Source organism: Homo sapiens, chromosome 11 (assembly GCF_000001405.40).
Source record: "Homo sapiens chromosome 11, GRCh38.p14 Primary Assembly".
NCBI lineage: Eukaryota > Metazoa > Chordata > Mammalia > Primates > Hominidae > Homo > Homo sapiens.
In genome coordinates, this window is record NC_000011.10 from 1,073,605 (window position 1) to 1,089,191 (window position 15,587).

The 15,587-nt window shown below is 67.5% G+C and overlaps 1 protein-coding gene across 1 annotated transcript in view, besides 2 other annotated features; it reads left to right on the forward strand.

Annotated features, from left to right (window-relative positions):
• Nucleotides 1,270-15,587, forward strand: part of MUC2 (mucin 2, oligomeric mucus/gel-forming) — a 35,635-nt gene continuing 21,317 nt past the window's right edge. Inside the window, 23 exon segments of the mRNA NM_002457.5 lie at nucleotides 1,270-1,373; nucleotides 2,047-2,317; nucleotides 3,850-3,964; nucleotides 4,348-4,438; nucleotides 4,519-4,628; nucleotides 4,708-4,918; nucleotides 8,058-8,183; nucleotides 8,681-8,798; nucleotides 8,877-9,015; nucleotides 9,274-9,384; nucleotides 9,473-9,542; nucleotides 9,821-9,958; nucleotides 10,049-10,213; nucleotides 10,687-10,781; nucleotides 10,988-11,114; nucleotides 11,464-11,719; nucleotides 11,950-12,002; nucleotides 12,141-12,241; nucleotides 12,642-12,793; nucleotides 13,131-13,269; nucleotides 14,151-14,261; nucleotides 14,343-14,522; nucleotides 14,654-14,893. Coding sequence (NP_002448.5) covers nucleotides 1,298-1,373; nucleotides 2,047-2,317; nucleotides 3,850-3,964; nucleotides 4,348-4,438; nucleotides 4,519-4,628; nucleotides 4,708-4,918; nucleotides 8,058-8,183; nucleotides 8,681-8,798; nucleotides 8,877-9,015; nucleotides 9,274-9,384; nucleotides 9,473-9,542; nucleotides 9,821-9,958; nucleotides 10,049-10,213; nucleotides 10,687-10,781; nucleotides 10,988-11,114; nucleotides 11,464-11,719; nucleotides 11,950-12,002; nucleotides 12,141-12,241; nucleotides 12,642-12,793; nucleotides 13,131-13,269; nucleotides 14,151-14,261; nucleotides 14,343-14,522; nucleotides 14,654-14,893 — 3,195 coding nt within the window. The 5' untranslated portion in view covers nucleotides 1,270-1,297.
• Nucleotides 4,217-4,717: an enhancer, noted in NCBI's record as "H3K4me1 hESC enhancer chr11:1077965-1078465 (GRCh37/hg19 assembly coordinates)". NCBI's record gives its function as "activates a minimal SCP1, AML or CMV promoter by ChIP-STARR-seq in naive H9 embryonic stem cells {active_cell/tissue: H9 hESC(naive)}" and the evidence as "EXISTENCE:reporter gene assay evidence [ECO:0000049][PMID:30033119]".
• Nucleotides 4,743-5,284: an enhancer, noted in NCBI's record as "H3K27ac-H3K4me1 hESC enhancer chr11:1078491-1079026 (GRCh37/hg19 assembly coordinates)". NCBI's record gives its function as "activates a minimal SCP1, AML or CMV promoter by ChIP-STARR-seq in naive H9 embryonic stem cells {active_cell/tissue: H9 hESC(naive)}" and the evidence as "EXISTENCE:reporter gene assay evidence [ECO:0000049][PMID:30033119]".

Genomic DNA, 15,587 nt, shown 5'->3' on the forward strand with positions numbered 1-15,587 from the left:
GTGCTGGCGGGCACCGCAGGAGGGCGGGAGGGGCTTCGTCCCAGGCCCTGGGTCTGGGCAGCAGGTCAGCCAGGGAAACAGGCTTGGTGCTTTGGGCCCCGAGTCTCTATAACTGTTGGGGTGAGTCCCTCCCCACTGCCATCATGCTGCCGGCATGTCCCTGGCATGTTCAGGCCAAAGCCAGGAACTCAACTCAGGGCCCCTCTCTATTTTCAGGAGGAGAAAATTGTAGAGAGAGGGGAGGGCCCCCAGACCTCAGTTTACCCACTGGCGACACAGGGGTGCCTGCCTGTGCCCTCCCGGGCCGGGGCAAGCAGTGGTGGGCCCAGTGGTCTCGTAGTCTGGGGTCGGTGTGAGTTCCGGTTCTCCAGGCTTTTTTCCAGACAACTGCTGGGATTGGTGGGCGAGACCAAGGCTCATCAAAGGCACAGCCTTGGGGGCAGGATCCCCACCATGAGTCAGAGGTAGTTCTGGGGAGCCTGGGCAGGCTGTCACCTCCTCAGCTGTCAGGCCCGAGGTCCTCATGTGGTCCCCAGGAGAAGGGGCAGACGGCCACTTCCGGCCACCAGCCAGCTCCCTGTGTGCCTGATTCCGTAACATGTCCCCTGGCTGGGCATGTACTCCCCAAGTTCTAATTACATGTAACTGCAGAGAAGGGCTCAGCCTGGGAAAAGGATGGGCATAGGGGGTGGTTGGGGGCTGGGGCCTCTGACACAGCTCCATGAGCCCGGCCAAGAGTCCCACACAAGTCAGTGGCCCCCCCGGACCCTGAAGGATCCCACATCCTCCCTGCCCTCGGGGAGGCCCCTTTCTGGGGTCAGGCCTGGAAGCTGCCCCAGAGCTTGGGCCCCAGGAATGGGTTGGTCCTCCCAGCGTAACGTGAGCCTGATCAGGCCTGGGGACCTGCTCAGCGGGTGTCTGGGGGCCCATGGCGGGCTAAGGAGCCTGACCAGACTTGCTTCTGGCAGGACACCCCTCCCCCGGCCACCCTGGGCTCGCCCCTCTAGTAGCTGCATGTGTTCCCCGGGTGTGTGTTGGCATTCAGGCTACAGGGCTGCCTCATCCTGAAGAAGGCTGCGTTTACCCAGGGAGCCATAAAGAGATGACCTCCGATAACCTGAATCAATATTTCCCCATTGGGGCTCGGGCCCCCGCAGCTGTCTTCTTGATCATCTGGCAGATGCCACACCCACCCTTGGCCCTCCCCTGCCTTCCTGCCCTCCTACCCTCCTGCCAGGACATATAAGGACCAGACCCCTGCCCCCGGGCGCAACCCACACCGCCCCTGCCAGCCACCATGGGGCTGCCACTAGCCCGCCTGGCGGCTGTGTGCCTGGCCCTGTCTTTGGCAGGGGGCTCGGAGCTCCAGACAGGTGAGAGAGCAGACACAGGGGTCTGGGGCCTGGCAGAGTGTCCTGGGGGCAGGGCGAGGCGGGCGGGCAAGTCGCGTCTGGGAGGAGGAGCTGGTCCCAGAGTGCAGCCTGCGCGGCTCTGCTGAGGCTCCTGGCCCGGGTTGGTCCCTGGAAGCCCCCGGCCCTGCTGACTTTCAAGGAGCTGGAAGGTCGGGGCTCCCCTGCTATTCCTTTGGGGTTGACTGCCCGACGACAGTGTGGGTCTTGGGGCCAGCACCAGGTGGAAACAGCAGGTCAGGCCCCAGTGAACTGGGTCATTGTCCATAGGGGAGGAAGGGGTGGCCAGGATCCCACCAGAAGGCCCCATTCTCAGGTGGCAGAGACCCTTGAAGAGTTGGGGCAGCACAGCCCTTGCTGGGGAGCGGGGTGCCCAGAATGCCCTCTCCTACATCCCGCTTGGCACCCGGCCGCACTCCTCACCAGGCCGGGGGTAGAAGCCCTGAGACCCCTGTGGTGGGGTGACCAAGGCCCAGCAGAGGGCCCGAGGATAGGAAGGAACCTTTCCCGGCCAGGGGCCCTGTGCTGGGCTCGAAGCTGCTTCCAGGTGCTTCTTCAGGGGCCTTCTCTCGAGGGTAGCTTGGGCAGCCTTCCCCCTCCGGGGCCACTCACCCCTCATTCCCCGCTGCTCCCTCAGAGGGCAGAACCCGAAACCACGGCCACAACGTCTGCAGCACCTGGGGCAACTTCCACTACAAGACCTTCGACGGGGACGTCTTCCGCTTCCCCGGCCCCTGCGACTACAACTTCGCCTCCGACTGCCGAGGCTCCTACAAGGAATTTGCTGTGCACCTGAAGCGGGGTCCGGGCCAGGCTGAGGCCCCCGCCGGGGTGGAGTCCATCCTGCTGACCATCAAGGATGACACCATCTACCTCACCCGCCACCTGGCTGTGCTTAACGGGGCCGTGTGAGTGTGGTCGGTGGCACCCCTCCCACATCCTAGCAACGGGGGCTGATGTTTCCCAAAGGGATATTCCTTGTAGCCCTAGAAGACCCCTTCCGCCCCAGCACACAGCTCAGGAGAACAGCCTTGAGGTTTGGGTTCAGGTCACTAATTCATTCAACAAACACTGATGAGCCCCCACCATTCCCCCCATAGGCAAGGGGTTTCAGTTATCCCTTTGCCTGTGTGTCCCTGACAGCCCCTCCCCTCGGAGCCCACCAGGCTCCGGACAGACTTGGCACCCCTGGAGGCTGCATGTCTCTGGTCCTGTGCATGGAGTGGCCGTGTGTGCCCTCCCCAGGCTAGAGTTACAGAAGCCGGTGCAGGGGGCTGTGGGACCCCCTTCCCCATCCCCAGCTATTGCTCCCCTATTGTCTCCAGAACAATGAGGCCCTGTAAGTGCGTTCCCATCCAGCGCCTGCCCCTCTTCTGCCTGGGGATTTAGTTTCCTGCAAGGCGCCCCAGCATGGGCATGGGCAGGCGGGTGGAGGCCCTCAGGCATGGGCATGGGCAGGCGGGTGGGTAGAGGCCCTCAGGCGTGAGTGCGGGCGGGTGGGTGGATAGAAGCCGTCAGGCATGGGTGCAGGCGGGTGGGTAGAGGTCCTCAGGTGTGGGCATGGGCAGGTGGGTGGGTAGAGGCCGTCAGGTGTGGGCGCGGGTGGGTGGGTAGAGGCCCTCAGGCATGGGTGCAGGCGGGTGGGTGGGTAGAGGCCCTCAGGCGTGGGCGCGGGTGGGTGGATAGAGGCCGTCAGGCGTAGGTGCGGGCGGGTGGGTAGAGGTCCTCAGGTGTGGGCGCAGGTGGGTGGGTGGGTAGAGGCCCTCAGGCATGGCACAGGTGGGTGGGTAGAGGCCCTCAGGCATGGGCGCAGGCGGGTGGGTGGGTAGGGGCCCTCAGGCATGGGTGTTGGCAGGTGGGTGGGTAGAGGCTTTCAGGCATGGGCAGGCAGGTAGAGGCCCTTGAGGACCGAGGCACAGAGGCTGGGGTGAGTGCCTCTACCTGGACCAGCAAGGGGCACTGGCAGGAGGTGGGGTAGGGCCCCTGACGTTCTCAGGGGCAGCCTGGGGGGCTCTGGGGGGTTTGGGACCCCATGGGGGGATGTTCCACCAAGCAGGGGGCCTGGAAGGGGGCTGGGCAGCCTGGTCCTCCCTCCTCTCCCAACCTGGTGCCCTCAGGGCCTCTGAGGGGGGACCCTGCCCAGGACCGTGCCCCGAGGAGGGAGTGGAGAGGAGGGGCGTGCAGGCAGGAGGTGGCTCTGCCGGGGAAGCCCGGCCAGCGGAGATGGACAGGTGCTCTTTGGCCACTGCCTATGTCCCTCCACCCCAGAGGCCGGCCAAGTTGGTGATCCCAGGGCAGGAGCTGGGCCTGGCAGAGCCATCTCCACCACCCCAGGTGCCCAGCTTCAGTCCCCTCTGGGCGGCGGGGTCCCGGGAGGACAAGCTGGGGCGGGGGGGCCTGGGTGGTGGACCCAAGAGTGACCCCGATGTGCCTCCGCCAGGGTCAGCACCCCGCACTACAGCCCCGGGCTGCTCATTGAGAAGAGCGATGCCTACACCAAAGTCTACTCCCGCGCCGGCCTCACCCTCATGTGGAACCGGGAGGATGCACTCATGGTGCTCAGGGGTCCCCGGACTCGTGGGGCTGGTGGGGGCTCCGTCAGGCCTCTGGGCAGACCCCAAGGGAGGGCAGGGAGGGCAGTGCTCTGACCCCTCACCGAGAGGGCATGGGTGGGGCAGGGCCTCGGCAGCGCAGGGCGTCGGTGCTGGACTTGGGGGGCAGCAGCAGAAGCCGACCTGGCCCTGACCCCCCCAGGCCTCAGCCTTCCCCCAAACGCACTCGGCTTCTCAGGGACCTGCCCTGCCAGGCCGCTCCCTGGCTGCTGACCCCAGCCTTCCTGCCCCACCTTCCTCTGGCTCAAACAAGCCACGAGTCTTGGGGGTTCCTGGCGGCTGTGGGCCGGGCGGGAGGCCAGCTCACCTGCTCCCTCCCGCAACAGCTGGAGCTGGACACTAAGTTCCGGAACCACACCTGTGGCCTCTGCGGGGACTACAACGGCCTGCAGAGCTATTCAGAATTCCTCTCTGACGGTGAGGCCCGGAGGGCTTGGAGGGGGCAGGGTAGGCTACGGGCCCCCAGGAGCCCTAGCTGAAGGGCCGTGCATCCCCAGGCGTGCTCTTCAGTCCCCTGGAGTTTGGGAACATGCAGAAGATCAACCAGCCCGATGTGGTGTGTGAGGATCCCGAGGAGGAGGTGGCCCCCGCATCCTGCTCCGAGCACGTGAGTCCCCTCGGTCCGGGGTGGGGGTCCTGGCGGAGCTGGCCTCTGAATAGCATGCTCACCCTGCGTCTGTCCCCAGCGCGCCGAGTGTGAGAGGCTGCTGACCGCCGAGGCCTTCGCGGACTGTCAGGACCTGGTGCCGCTGGAGCCGTATCTGCGCGCCTGCCAGCAGGACCGCTGCCGGTGCCCGGGCGGTGACACCTGCGTCTGCAGCACCGTGGCCGAGTTCTCCCGCCAGTGCTCCCACGCCGGCGGCCGGCCCGGGAACTGGAGGACCGCCACGCTCTGCCGTAAGCCCCGGCGCCTTGTGGGCAGGGGACCCCAGGGAGACCCCACGCTGGTGCTTTCCCCAAGCCCGGGTGGGAGCTGTGTCTGTGCCGGGCACCTTGAGCTGGGGGGACACTCACCGCACCGGGCACCTTGAGCTGGGGGAACACTAACCGTGCCGGGCACCGGGAGCTGGGGGGACACTCACCGTGCCGGGCACCTTGAGCTGGGGGGACACTCACCGTGCCGGGCACCGGGAGCTGGGGGGACACTCACCACGGGCACCGAGAGCTGGGGGGACACTCACCGTGCCGGGCACCGGGAGCTGGGGGGACACTCACCGTGACGGGCACCGGGAGCTGGGGGGACACTCACCGTGACGGGCACCGGGAGCTGGGGGGACACTCACCGTGCCGGGCACCGGGAGCTGGGGGGACACTCACCACGGGCACCGGGAGCTGGGGGGACACTCACCGTGCCGGGCACCTTGAGCTGGGGGGACACTCACCGTGCCGGGCACCGGGAGCTGGGGGGACACTCACCGTGCCGGGCACCGGGAGCTGGGGGGACACTCACCGCGCCGGGCACCGGGAGCTGGGGGGACACTCACCGTGCCGGGCACCGGGAGCTGGGGGGACACTCACCACGGGCACCGAGAGCTGGGGGGACACTCACCGCGCCGGGCACCGGGAGCTGGGGGGACACTCACTGTGACGGGCACCGGGAGCTGGGGGGACACTCACCGTGCCGGGCACCGGGAGCTGGGGGGACACTCACCACGGGCACTGGGAGCTGGGGGGACACTCACTGAGGGCACCGGGAGCTGGGGGGACACTCACTGTGACGGGCACCGAGAGCTGGGGGGACACTCACTGTGACGGGCACCGGGAGCTGGGGGGACACTCACTGTGACGGGCACCGGGAGCTGGGGGGACACTCACCGTGCCGGGCACCGGGAGCTGGGGGGACACTCACTGAGGGCACCGGGAGCTGGGGGGACACTCACCGTGCCGGGCACCGGGAGCTGGGGGGACACTCACCACGGGCACCGGGAGCTGGGGGGACACTCACCGTGCCGGGCACCGGGAGCTGGGGGGACACTCACCGTGCCGGGCACCGGGAGCTGGGGGGACACTCACTGAGGGCACCGGGAGCTGGGGGGACACTCACTGTGACGGGCACCGAGAGCTGGGGGGACACTCACTGTGACGGGCACCGGGAGCTGGGGGGACACTCACTGTGACGGGCACCGGGAGCTGGGGGGACACTCACCGTGCCGGGCACCGGGAGCTGGGGGGACACTCACTGAGGGCACCGGGAGCTGGGGGGACACTCACCGCGCCGGGCACCGGGAGCTGGGGGGACACTCACTGAGGGCACCGAGAGCTGGGGGGACACTCACTGTGACGGGCACCGGGAGCTGGGGGGACACTCACCGCGCCGGGCACCGGGAGCTGGGGGGACACTCACCGTGACGGGCACCGAGAGCTGGGGGGACACTCACTGTGACGGGCACCTTGAGCTGGGGGGACACTCACCACGGGCACTGGGAGCTGGGGGGACACTCACCGCGCCGGGCACCGGGAGCTGGGGGGACACTCACTGAGGGCACCGGGAGCTGGGGGGACACTCACCGTGCCGGGCACCGGGAGCTGGGGGGACACTCACTGAGGGCACCGGGAGCTGGGGGGACACTCACTGAGGGCACCGGGAGCTGGGGGGACACTCACTGAGGGCACCAAGAGCTGGGGGGACACTCACCACGGGCACCGAGAGCTGGGGGGACACTCACCGTGACGGGCACCGGGAGCTGGGGGGACACTCACCACGGGCACCGGGAGCTGGGGGGACACTCACCGTGACGGGCACCGGGAGCTGGGGGGACACTCACTGAGGGCACCGGGAGCTGGGGGGACACTCACCACGGGCACCGGGAGCTGGGGGGACACTCACCGCGCCGGGCACCGGGAGCTGGGGGGACACTCACCACGGGCACTGGGAGCTGGGGGGACACTCACCACGGGCACTGGGAGCTGGGGGGACACTCACCACGGGCACCGGGAGCTGGGGGGACACTCACCGTGACGGGCACCGGGAGCTGGGGGGACACTCACCACGGGCACCGGGAGCTGGGGGGACACTCACCACGGGCACCGGGAGCTGGGGGGACACTCACCACGGGCACCGGGAGCTGGGGGGACACTCACCGCGGGCACTGGGAGCTGGGGGGACACTCACCACGGGCACTGGGAGCTGGGGGGACACTCACCACGGGCACCGGGAGCTGGGGGGACACTCACCGTGACGGGCACCGGGAGCTGGGGGGACACTCACCACGGGCACCGGGAGCTGGGGGGACACTCACCACGGGCACCGGGAGCTGGGGGGACACTCACCACGGGCACCGGGAGCTGGGGGGACACTCACCGTGCCGGGCACCGGGAGCTGGGGGGACACTCACTGAGGGCACCGGGAGCTGGGGGGACACTCACCACGGGCACCGAGAGCTGGGGGGACACTCACTGTGCCGGGCACCGGGAGCTGGGGGGACACTCACCACGGGCACCGGGAGCTGGGGGGACACTCACCGTGACGGGCACCGGGAGCTGGGGGGACACTCACCACGGGCACCGGGAGCTGGGGGGACACTCACCGTGCCGGGCACCGGGAGCTGGGGGGACACTCACTGAGGGCACCGGGAGCTGGGGGGACACTCACCACGGGCACCGAGAGCTGGGGGGACACTCACTGTGCCGGGCACCGGGAGCTGGGGGGACACTCACCACGGGCACCGGGAGCTGGGGGGACACTCACCGTGACGGGCACCGGGAGCTGGGGGGACACTCACTGAGGGCACCGGGAGCTGGGGGGACACTCACCACGGGCACCGGGAGCTGGGGGGACACTCACCACGGGCACCGGGAGCTGGGGGGACACTCACCGTGCCGGGCACCGGGAGCTGGGGGGACACTCACCACGGGCACCGGGAGCTGGGGGGACACTCACCACGGGCACCGGGAGCTGGGGGGACACTCACCGCGCCGGGCACCGGGAGCTGGGGGGACACTCACCGTGGGCTGAGAGCCCTTCTCGGTGCACTTCGGGGTGGAGCGGCTGCTGTGCCCCAGCCTCACCCTCACTGCGTGGCCTCTGCGGTTCCAGCCAAGACCTGCCCCGGGAACCTGGTGTACCTGGAGAGCGGCTCGCCCTGCATGGACACCTGCTCACACCTGGAGGTGAGCAGCCTGTGCGAGGAGCACCGCATGGACGGCTGTTTCTGCCCAGAAGGTGCGTGTGGAGGATGGCCCCGCCCTGGCACTGCCCACCAGATGAGAGGCAGCCCTGGCCTGGGGTTCTCGCCTGCGCTGAGGGGACGGCTCCGCTGGGTGGTGGGGGCAGCGGCGGCACAGAAGTGCCTCTCCCTCCACCCGATACCGGGGGAGAAGGGGCCTCGGTGTGAGGCCCTTCCCAAAGGGTGGCTTCAGGGAGGCCGGGAAGGGGGCTGCCTTCCTGGTTATCACCCTGGGGACAGACCTCCTCCTGCCCGGCCCCTGGCCTGGTGCCTGAGGCCTTTGGGAGCAGCTCGATTGTCAGGGGCAGGAAGGTGGCCTGGAGGCTGGACCCCCATGGCCAGACCCCAACCCAGGGACCAGGTGGGGACCGCAGGCGTCAGCACAGGGGACCAGTGGTGCCTGCGGGTGGGAGGCCTGGCTGGCAGCCCCTCGGTGGGGATTCTGGCTCTTTCTGAGCCAGCCGGGGTGACATCGCCTCCCTGGCTGTCCCAGGCACCGTATATGACGACATCGGGGACAGTGGCTGCGTTCCTGTGAGCCAGTGCCACTGCAGGCTGCACGGACACCTGTACACACCGGGCCAGGAGATCACCAATGACTGCGAGCAGTGGTGAGTCCCGGGGCCAGGGCTGGGCACAGCAGAGGCTGGGGCGGCTGAGCCCTGACCCTGTGCCCCGCTGCCCAACAGTGTCTGTAACGCTGGCCGCTGGGTGTGCAAAGACCTGCCCTGCCCCGGCACCTGTGCCCTGGAAGGCGGCTCCCACATCACCACCTTCGATGGGAAGACGTACACCTTCCACGGGGACTGCTACTATGTCCTGGCCAAGGTAGGCTGCCCAGGGTCTGGGGCATGGGGCAGAGCTGGGGCTGGCATCCAGGCCCTTGGCTGTCCCGGGGTGGGTGGGCTGGCTGTCCCTGAAGCAGAGGGTGCCTGTGGGCTGTCCTGGGGCAGGTGACCATGCTTCTGCTCTCTGGCTGGAGAATAAGAAGCAGGCCTTCCTTTCTAAGCCACTGCCGGGTCCTAGGGTGCAGGGTGCTGCCCGTCCCGGCCCTCAGCAGCTGCACTGCCTCTTGCCCCATCACAGGGTGACCACAACGATTCCTACGCTCTCCTGGGCGAGCTGGCCCCCTGTGGCTCCACAGACAAGCAGACCTGCCTGAAGACGGTGGTGCTGCTGGCTGACAAGAAGAAGAATGTGAGTGGTCCTGCCCCCTCCTTCTGGAGCCCCAGGTCCCCCGAGGGGGGCCCTTCTCAGCCCTGAGCAACCTCGGCCTTCCCTGCAGGTGGTGGTCTTCAAGTCCGATGGCAGTGTACTGCTCAACGAGCTGCAGGTGAACCTGCCCCACGTGACCGGTGAGTTGCGCCCCAGGGAGGGGCCCGGGCCCTTCGAGCTCCACTGGGCCTGCAGTGATTCGGACAGTCCAGCCACCTCGGACCCAGGAGGCTGGGTGGGAAGGTTCCACGGGGGGAGGGTCCCTGCGGCACCCAGCAGGCTCCGTCCTGGGTCCTCTGCTGGAGGGGGTGGTGGGAGGGTGACACCCTCCCGCTGCTCACCTGGGCCAGGCAGGTCCCGGGAGCCCCGCCCCTCGCCATGCCCCTTACCGTGTCCCTCATCGTGCCCCTGCCCACAGCGAGCTTCTCTGTCTTCCGCCCGTCTTCCTACCACATCATGGTGAGCATGGCCATTGGCGTCCGGCTGCAGGTGCAGCTGGCCCCAGTCATGCAACTCTTTGTGACACTGGACCAGGCCTCCCAGGGGCAGGTGCAGGGTAAGTGGCCCCACCGGGGTTGCCCCAACAAAGGCCCACAGGGGGGCCTGCTAGCCCCAGACTCTTCCCAACCCTGTCCTGGCCCCTCAGGCCTCTGCGGGAACTTCAACGGCCTGGAAGGTGACGACTTCAAGACGGCCAGCGGGCTGGTGGAGGCCACGGGGGCCGGCTTTGCCAACACCTGGAAGGCACAGTCAACCTGCCATGACAAGCTGGACTGGTTGGACGATCCCTGCTCCCTGAACATCGAGAGCGGTGAGGCTCGGCAACACGGGCGCCCCCACCTAGCGTGCCTAGGGTACCCGGCCCATGGCCTGGAAGGGCAGACGGGGCTCCCAGCAGGAAGCATGGGTGGTGAGGGGCAGAAGTGAGGTGGCTCTCCTCCAGGGGCAGCCCGGCCCCTGCTGCTTCCTGCTGTGGCTAGTTTATGGCGGCCATGGTGGCAGCCTGCCAGGTGACCTGGAAGAGGGCCTGGGCTGGTCCCTACCTGCCCCGTCATGTCCAGGATGCTGGGCCCTTGGGGGTGAGAGACGGGAGGTGGTGGGTGCCCTGCAGGGGTTTCTATCTAGCCAGGAGCTGCCTGGAAATTTGACTCACGGGGAGGAAGGGGCCTGGGCATCGGTGCACAGAGGGAACCATATCTGGGGCCTAGGCAGCCAGGCAGCAGGGCCCAGGGGATCTCACGGGGGTCCCGGGCCCCGCTGAAGTTCCGATCCCCCACTCCCCAGCCAACTACGCCGAGCACTGGTGCTCCCTCCTGAAGAAGACAGAGACCCCCTTTGGCAGGTGCCACTCGGCTGTGGACCCTGCTGAGTATTACAAGGTGGGTGGGACCCACACCCCCAGGCCCCCATGCCATCAAGGTGGACTCAGGGCACCCCCAGCCCCCCATGCCACCCGTGAGGTGGACTCAGAGCACCCGGTTGGGCCCACTGGTTGCTGTGTGTGCGTGTGAGCTTGCGTCTGTGAGCGCCAGGCCACACTCTGCCTCCCTGCCTCACTGCCCGTCCACCTTGCTCTGTCGCCCAGAGGTGCAAATATGACACGTGTAACTGTCAGAACAATGAGGACTGCCTGTGCGCCGCCCTGTCCTCCTACGCGCGCGCCTGCACCGCCAAGGGCGTCATGCTGTGGGGCTGGCGGGAGCATGTCTGCAGTGAGTGCCGTCCCCGTGGGCTGCATCCTGGGGATGGGGTCCGGGCTTTGAGCTCCTGGGACGGGGCTGGGGGCCCTGAGCACGGGTGGTCCAGGGAGAGGGGTTGGCCCCCTGCAGCCACGGACCAGGCTCCAGCTTCGTCGGCCGGTGGTAGCAGGAAACCAGCAACTCCTATAGCAAGGGGCGGCCACGTAGCAGGGGCAGAACCTGGGGTGGGCCTGGAGCTGTGGCGGCCGAGTGTGGGAGTGGGTCCCAGAGTGTGCACTCCCTGGCCCCCTGGCCACCCTGGGGATGGGAGCTGGGCGTCTGGCTCTTCCCGTCCCTCACACCACCCCGTGGTCCTCTGCAGACAAGGATGTGGGCTCCTGCCCCAACTCGCAGGTCTTCCTGTACAACCTGACCACCTGCCAGCAGACCTGCCGCTCCCTCTCCGAGGCCGACAGCCACTGTCTCGAGGGCTTTGCGCCTGTGGACGGCTGCGGCTGCCCTGACCACACCTTCCTGGACGAGAAGGGCCGCTGCGTACCCCTGGCCAAGTGCTCCTGTTACCACCGCGGTCTCTACCTGGAGGCGGGGGACGTGGTCGTCAGGCAGGAAGAACGATGGTGGGTACCTGCTCGGGGGTCAGGTGTGGCGTGGGGGCGGGGGAACTCCTTCTGAACCTGCCCCAAGCGGAGACCTGGGAGTCTCTACCTGGGGAAGCTGAGACACCCAAGGCTGAGGGGTGCCTGGGGTGGGGGGCGCTGAGAGGCATCAGGCTCACATCTGCGGGGAAGCTGCTGGCTGTCTGTGGCCGTCCTGCATGGGCCCCGCTCATCCCTGGCCTTTTCCACAGTGTGTGCCGGGATGGGCGGCTGCACTGTAGGCAGATCCGGCTGATCGGCCAGAGTAAGTGGCACTGCCCCGGCCACCCCTCCCCAGCCACCCCTCCCTGCCTGCCCTGGCCACCCTCCCCGGCCACCCCTCCCGGGCCTGCCTGAGACCCTCAGCTTCAGCTGGAGCTGAGGTGGCCCCTCCGTCCCACAGGCTGCACGGCCCCAAAGATCCACATGGACTGCAGCAACCTGACTGCACTGGCCACCTCGAAGCCCCGAGCCCTCAGCTGCCAGACGCTGGCCGCCGGCTATGTGCGTGTTGGGGGCGCTGCTGTGGGCGGGCAGGGATTCCTGGCTGGCTGAGCCTGGCTCTTGTGCTGTGCCCCCGCTAGGGTCTGGGTGCCGAGTCCTGAGGACGCAGGCCCTGTTGATGCTGTCCCTGGCCCTGGGAGGGAAGTGGCAGCCTGTGAGCCACTGGGGCACAGGGGCCAGTGTAGGGCCCTTGGCCGGCAGCCCTCACCAGTCTCACTGCCCTGTGGCGGGCCCAAGGGGAGGGAAGCCTGAGCCCAGGCCAGGGGGAGTGGTGGGAGGTCTGGGACATGACAGAGACTGCATGGTCAGGCCTTTCCTGGTTGCACATCCAATCCTGACCCCAGGGAGGGCTGCAGCCTCACCTGTCCACCCCTGAACCCCACTCTCTGGCTGTCCCCAGTACCACACAGAGTGTGTCAGTGGCTGTGTGTGCCCCGACGGGCTGATGGATGACGGCCGGGGTGGCTGCGTGGTGGAGAAGGAATGCCCTTGCGTCCATAACAACGACCTGTATTCTTCCGGCGCCAAGATCAAGGTGGACTGCAATACCTGGTAAGCTGGCCCGGCCTGTCCTGGCTGCCTCCCAGGCCCCACGTGCTCCGCAGGGGTGGCCACTGGAGAGCGGTCCAAGGGGCAAGTGCCTCTCCTGGGGGTTCCGCCTGGGTCTTGCGAGATCCTGTGGTGGCCCCTGTCCCACGGGCAGGGTGGTCTCTCATGTCAACCGCTGGTCTTGAAGCCATGGGGGAAGGGACATTTGGAGCCACTTTTGGGGCCTGCAGGTGTCCTGTGTGGGAGGCACAGGGAGCTGTCTGCACGGTGCCCAGGGTCTCCTCCAGCCACCCATGAGCAGGTCCTGGGTCCCTTCAGGCTCCTCTCCTGTCCTCCTCAGCACCTGCAAGAGAGGACGCTGGGTGTGCACCCAGGCTGTGTGCCATGGCACCTGCTCCATTTACGGGAGTGGCCACTACATCACCTTTGACGGGAAGTACTACGACTTTGACGGACACTGCTCCTACGTGGCTGTTCAGGTGTGGTCACGGGCACTGCCTGGTCGGGCTGCTTATGGTCAGGGACCCTCTGCCTGCCCCAAGTGCAGTGCTTAGCTCCCCGAGAAACCCTGAGACTTGGGAAGGCCGGCCTTTCCTCAGCCCCAGACCCGCACCTGCACCCGCAGGAGGATTCGTTCTTCTAGCCAGGGCTGGGTAGGGGTGGTAAAACCCCTCTGTACTGCCCAGTTCTGTGGTTCTCCTCTGGGTCCTCCTCCGGGTCCTCCTCCGGGTCCTCATCTGGGTCCTCCCTCCTCTGGCCTCCTCTGGGTCCTCCCTCCTCTGGGTCCTCCTCTGGGTCCTCCCTCCTCTGGCCTCCTCTGGGTCCTCCCTCCTCTGGGTCCTCCCTCCTCTGGGTCCTCCTCCAGGTCCTCCTCTGGGTCCTCCCTCCTCTGGGTCCTCCCTCCTCTGGGTCCTCCTCCAGGTCCTCCTCTGGGTCCTCCCTCCTCTGGGTCCTCCTCTGGGTCCTCCTCTGAGTCCTCCCTCCTCTGGGTCCTCCTCTAGGTCCTCCTCTGTGGTCCTCATTTGGGTCCTCCTCTGGGTCCTCCTCTGGGTCCTTCTCTGGGTGCACAAGGTGGGTGCACCAGCCATGGGGACTGAGGGCACCTGTTTGGGGAGCTGAGTAAAGGCCAGGGCTAGGCCGCTGCCCGCGCGGCTCTCCAGATCCAAATCCCACAGCCCTTTGAGGCACCGTGATCCCCAGGGACAGGGGACAGGCCTGCAGCAGGGTCAGGTCCTTGGATGGGCCAGGCCAGGGCCTGGTTTGTCTGCTCAGTGGCTGTGACCCTGCCAACTGGGGCGGGTGTGCCCCGGGACACCTGGGGTCCAGCTGTCCTGGCTGACCTTGCCCTCCTGGCCCCCAGGACTACTGCGGCCAGAACTCCTCACTGGGCTCATTCAGCATCATCACCGAGAACGTCCCCTGTGGCACTACGGGCGTCACCTGCTCCAAGGCCATCAAGATCTTCATGGGGGTGAGTGCTGCTGGCCCTGGGGACGCGTGAGCCCTGCGGGACCCTCAGACCAGCCAGTGACTGGGCCTCTCCTCCGGGCAGAGGACGGAGCTGAAGTTGGAAGACAAGCACCGTGTGGTGATCCAGCGTGATGAGGGTCACCACGTGGCCTACACCACGCGGGAGGTGGGCCAGTACCTGGTGGTGGAGTCCAGCACGGGCATCATCGTCATCTGGGACAAGAGGACCACCGTGTTCATCAAGCTGGCTCCCTCCTACAAGGTGGGCTGCCTCCCTGCCTGCCCTGCCCCCTCCTGGCCAGCCCCCCACCCCCTGCCCTGGTGTTTGCAGGACAAGCCCCTGTCCTCCCTCCAGCCCCTTTTTGGAGCCCCTGTGATGCTTGTCTCTTGCAGGGCACCGTGTGTGGCCTGTGTGGGAACTTTGACCACCGCTCCAACAACGACTTCACCACGCGGGACCACATGGTGGTGAGCAGCGAGCTGGACTTCGGGAACAGCTGGAAGGAGGCCCCCACCTGCCCAGATGTGAGCACCAACCCCGAGCCCTGCAGCCTGAACCCGCACCGCCGCTCCTGGGCCGAGAAGCAGTGCAGCATCCTCAAAAGCAGCGTGTTCAGCATCTGCCACAGCAAGGTGGGCTGGCCGGGCCATGGTGGGGCAAGTAGGCAGAGGAGGGCTGTAGGTGGGCTGTGACTGTGGGCTGGGGCCATGGGCGGGGCCGACTGTAGGCAGAGCAGGGCTGTAGGGGGCCTGTGACTATAGGCCGGGGCATGGCGGGGCTAACTAGGCAGAGCAGGGCTGTAGGTGGGCTACAGCTGTGGGCGGGGCCATGGGCGGGGCCGACTAAGCAGAGCAGGGCTGTAGGTGGGCTATAGCTGTGGGCGGGGCCACGGGCGGGGCCGACTGTAGGCAGAGCAGGGCTGTAGGTGGACTATAGCTGTGGGCGGGGCCATGGGCGGGGCCGACTGTAGGCAGAGCAGGGCTGTAGGTGGGCTGTGGCTGTGGGCGGGGCCGACTAGGCAGAGCGGGGCTATGGGCTGACTGTGGACGTGGTGAGGGTGCCGTAGAGCATGCTAATGACCAGGGCGTGGTCATAGCAGGGTAGGGTCTTGGGTGCTCCTGGGGCTGGGGGGCTTCTCCACATGCTCCCCACACCTTCAGGAGTCGCCCTGCTGCGTCACGCACCACACGGCGCTTGTCCTCCAGCTTTGGCTCTGGCCGCTGCCTCCTTTGGTCACATGACCGTATAATCGGCCTCCCCTCTGAGACCCTGGGCTGGACCCCCGGCCTCCCTCTGCCTCCCCAGGCTCAGATATTCACCCGGAGG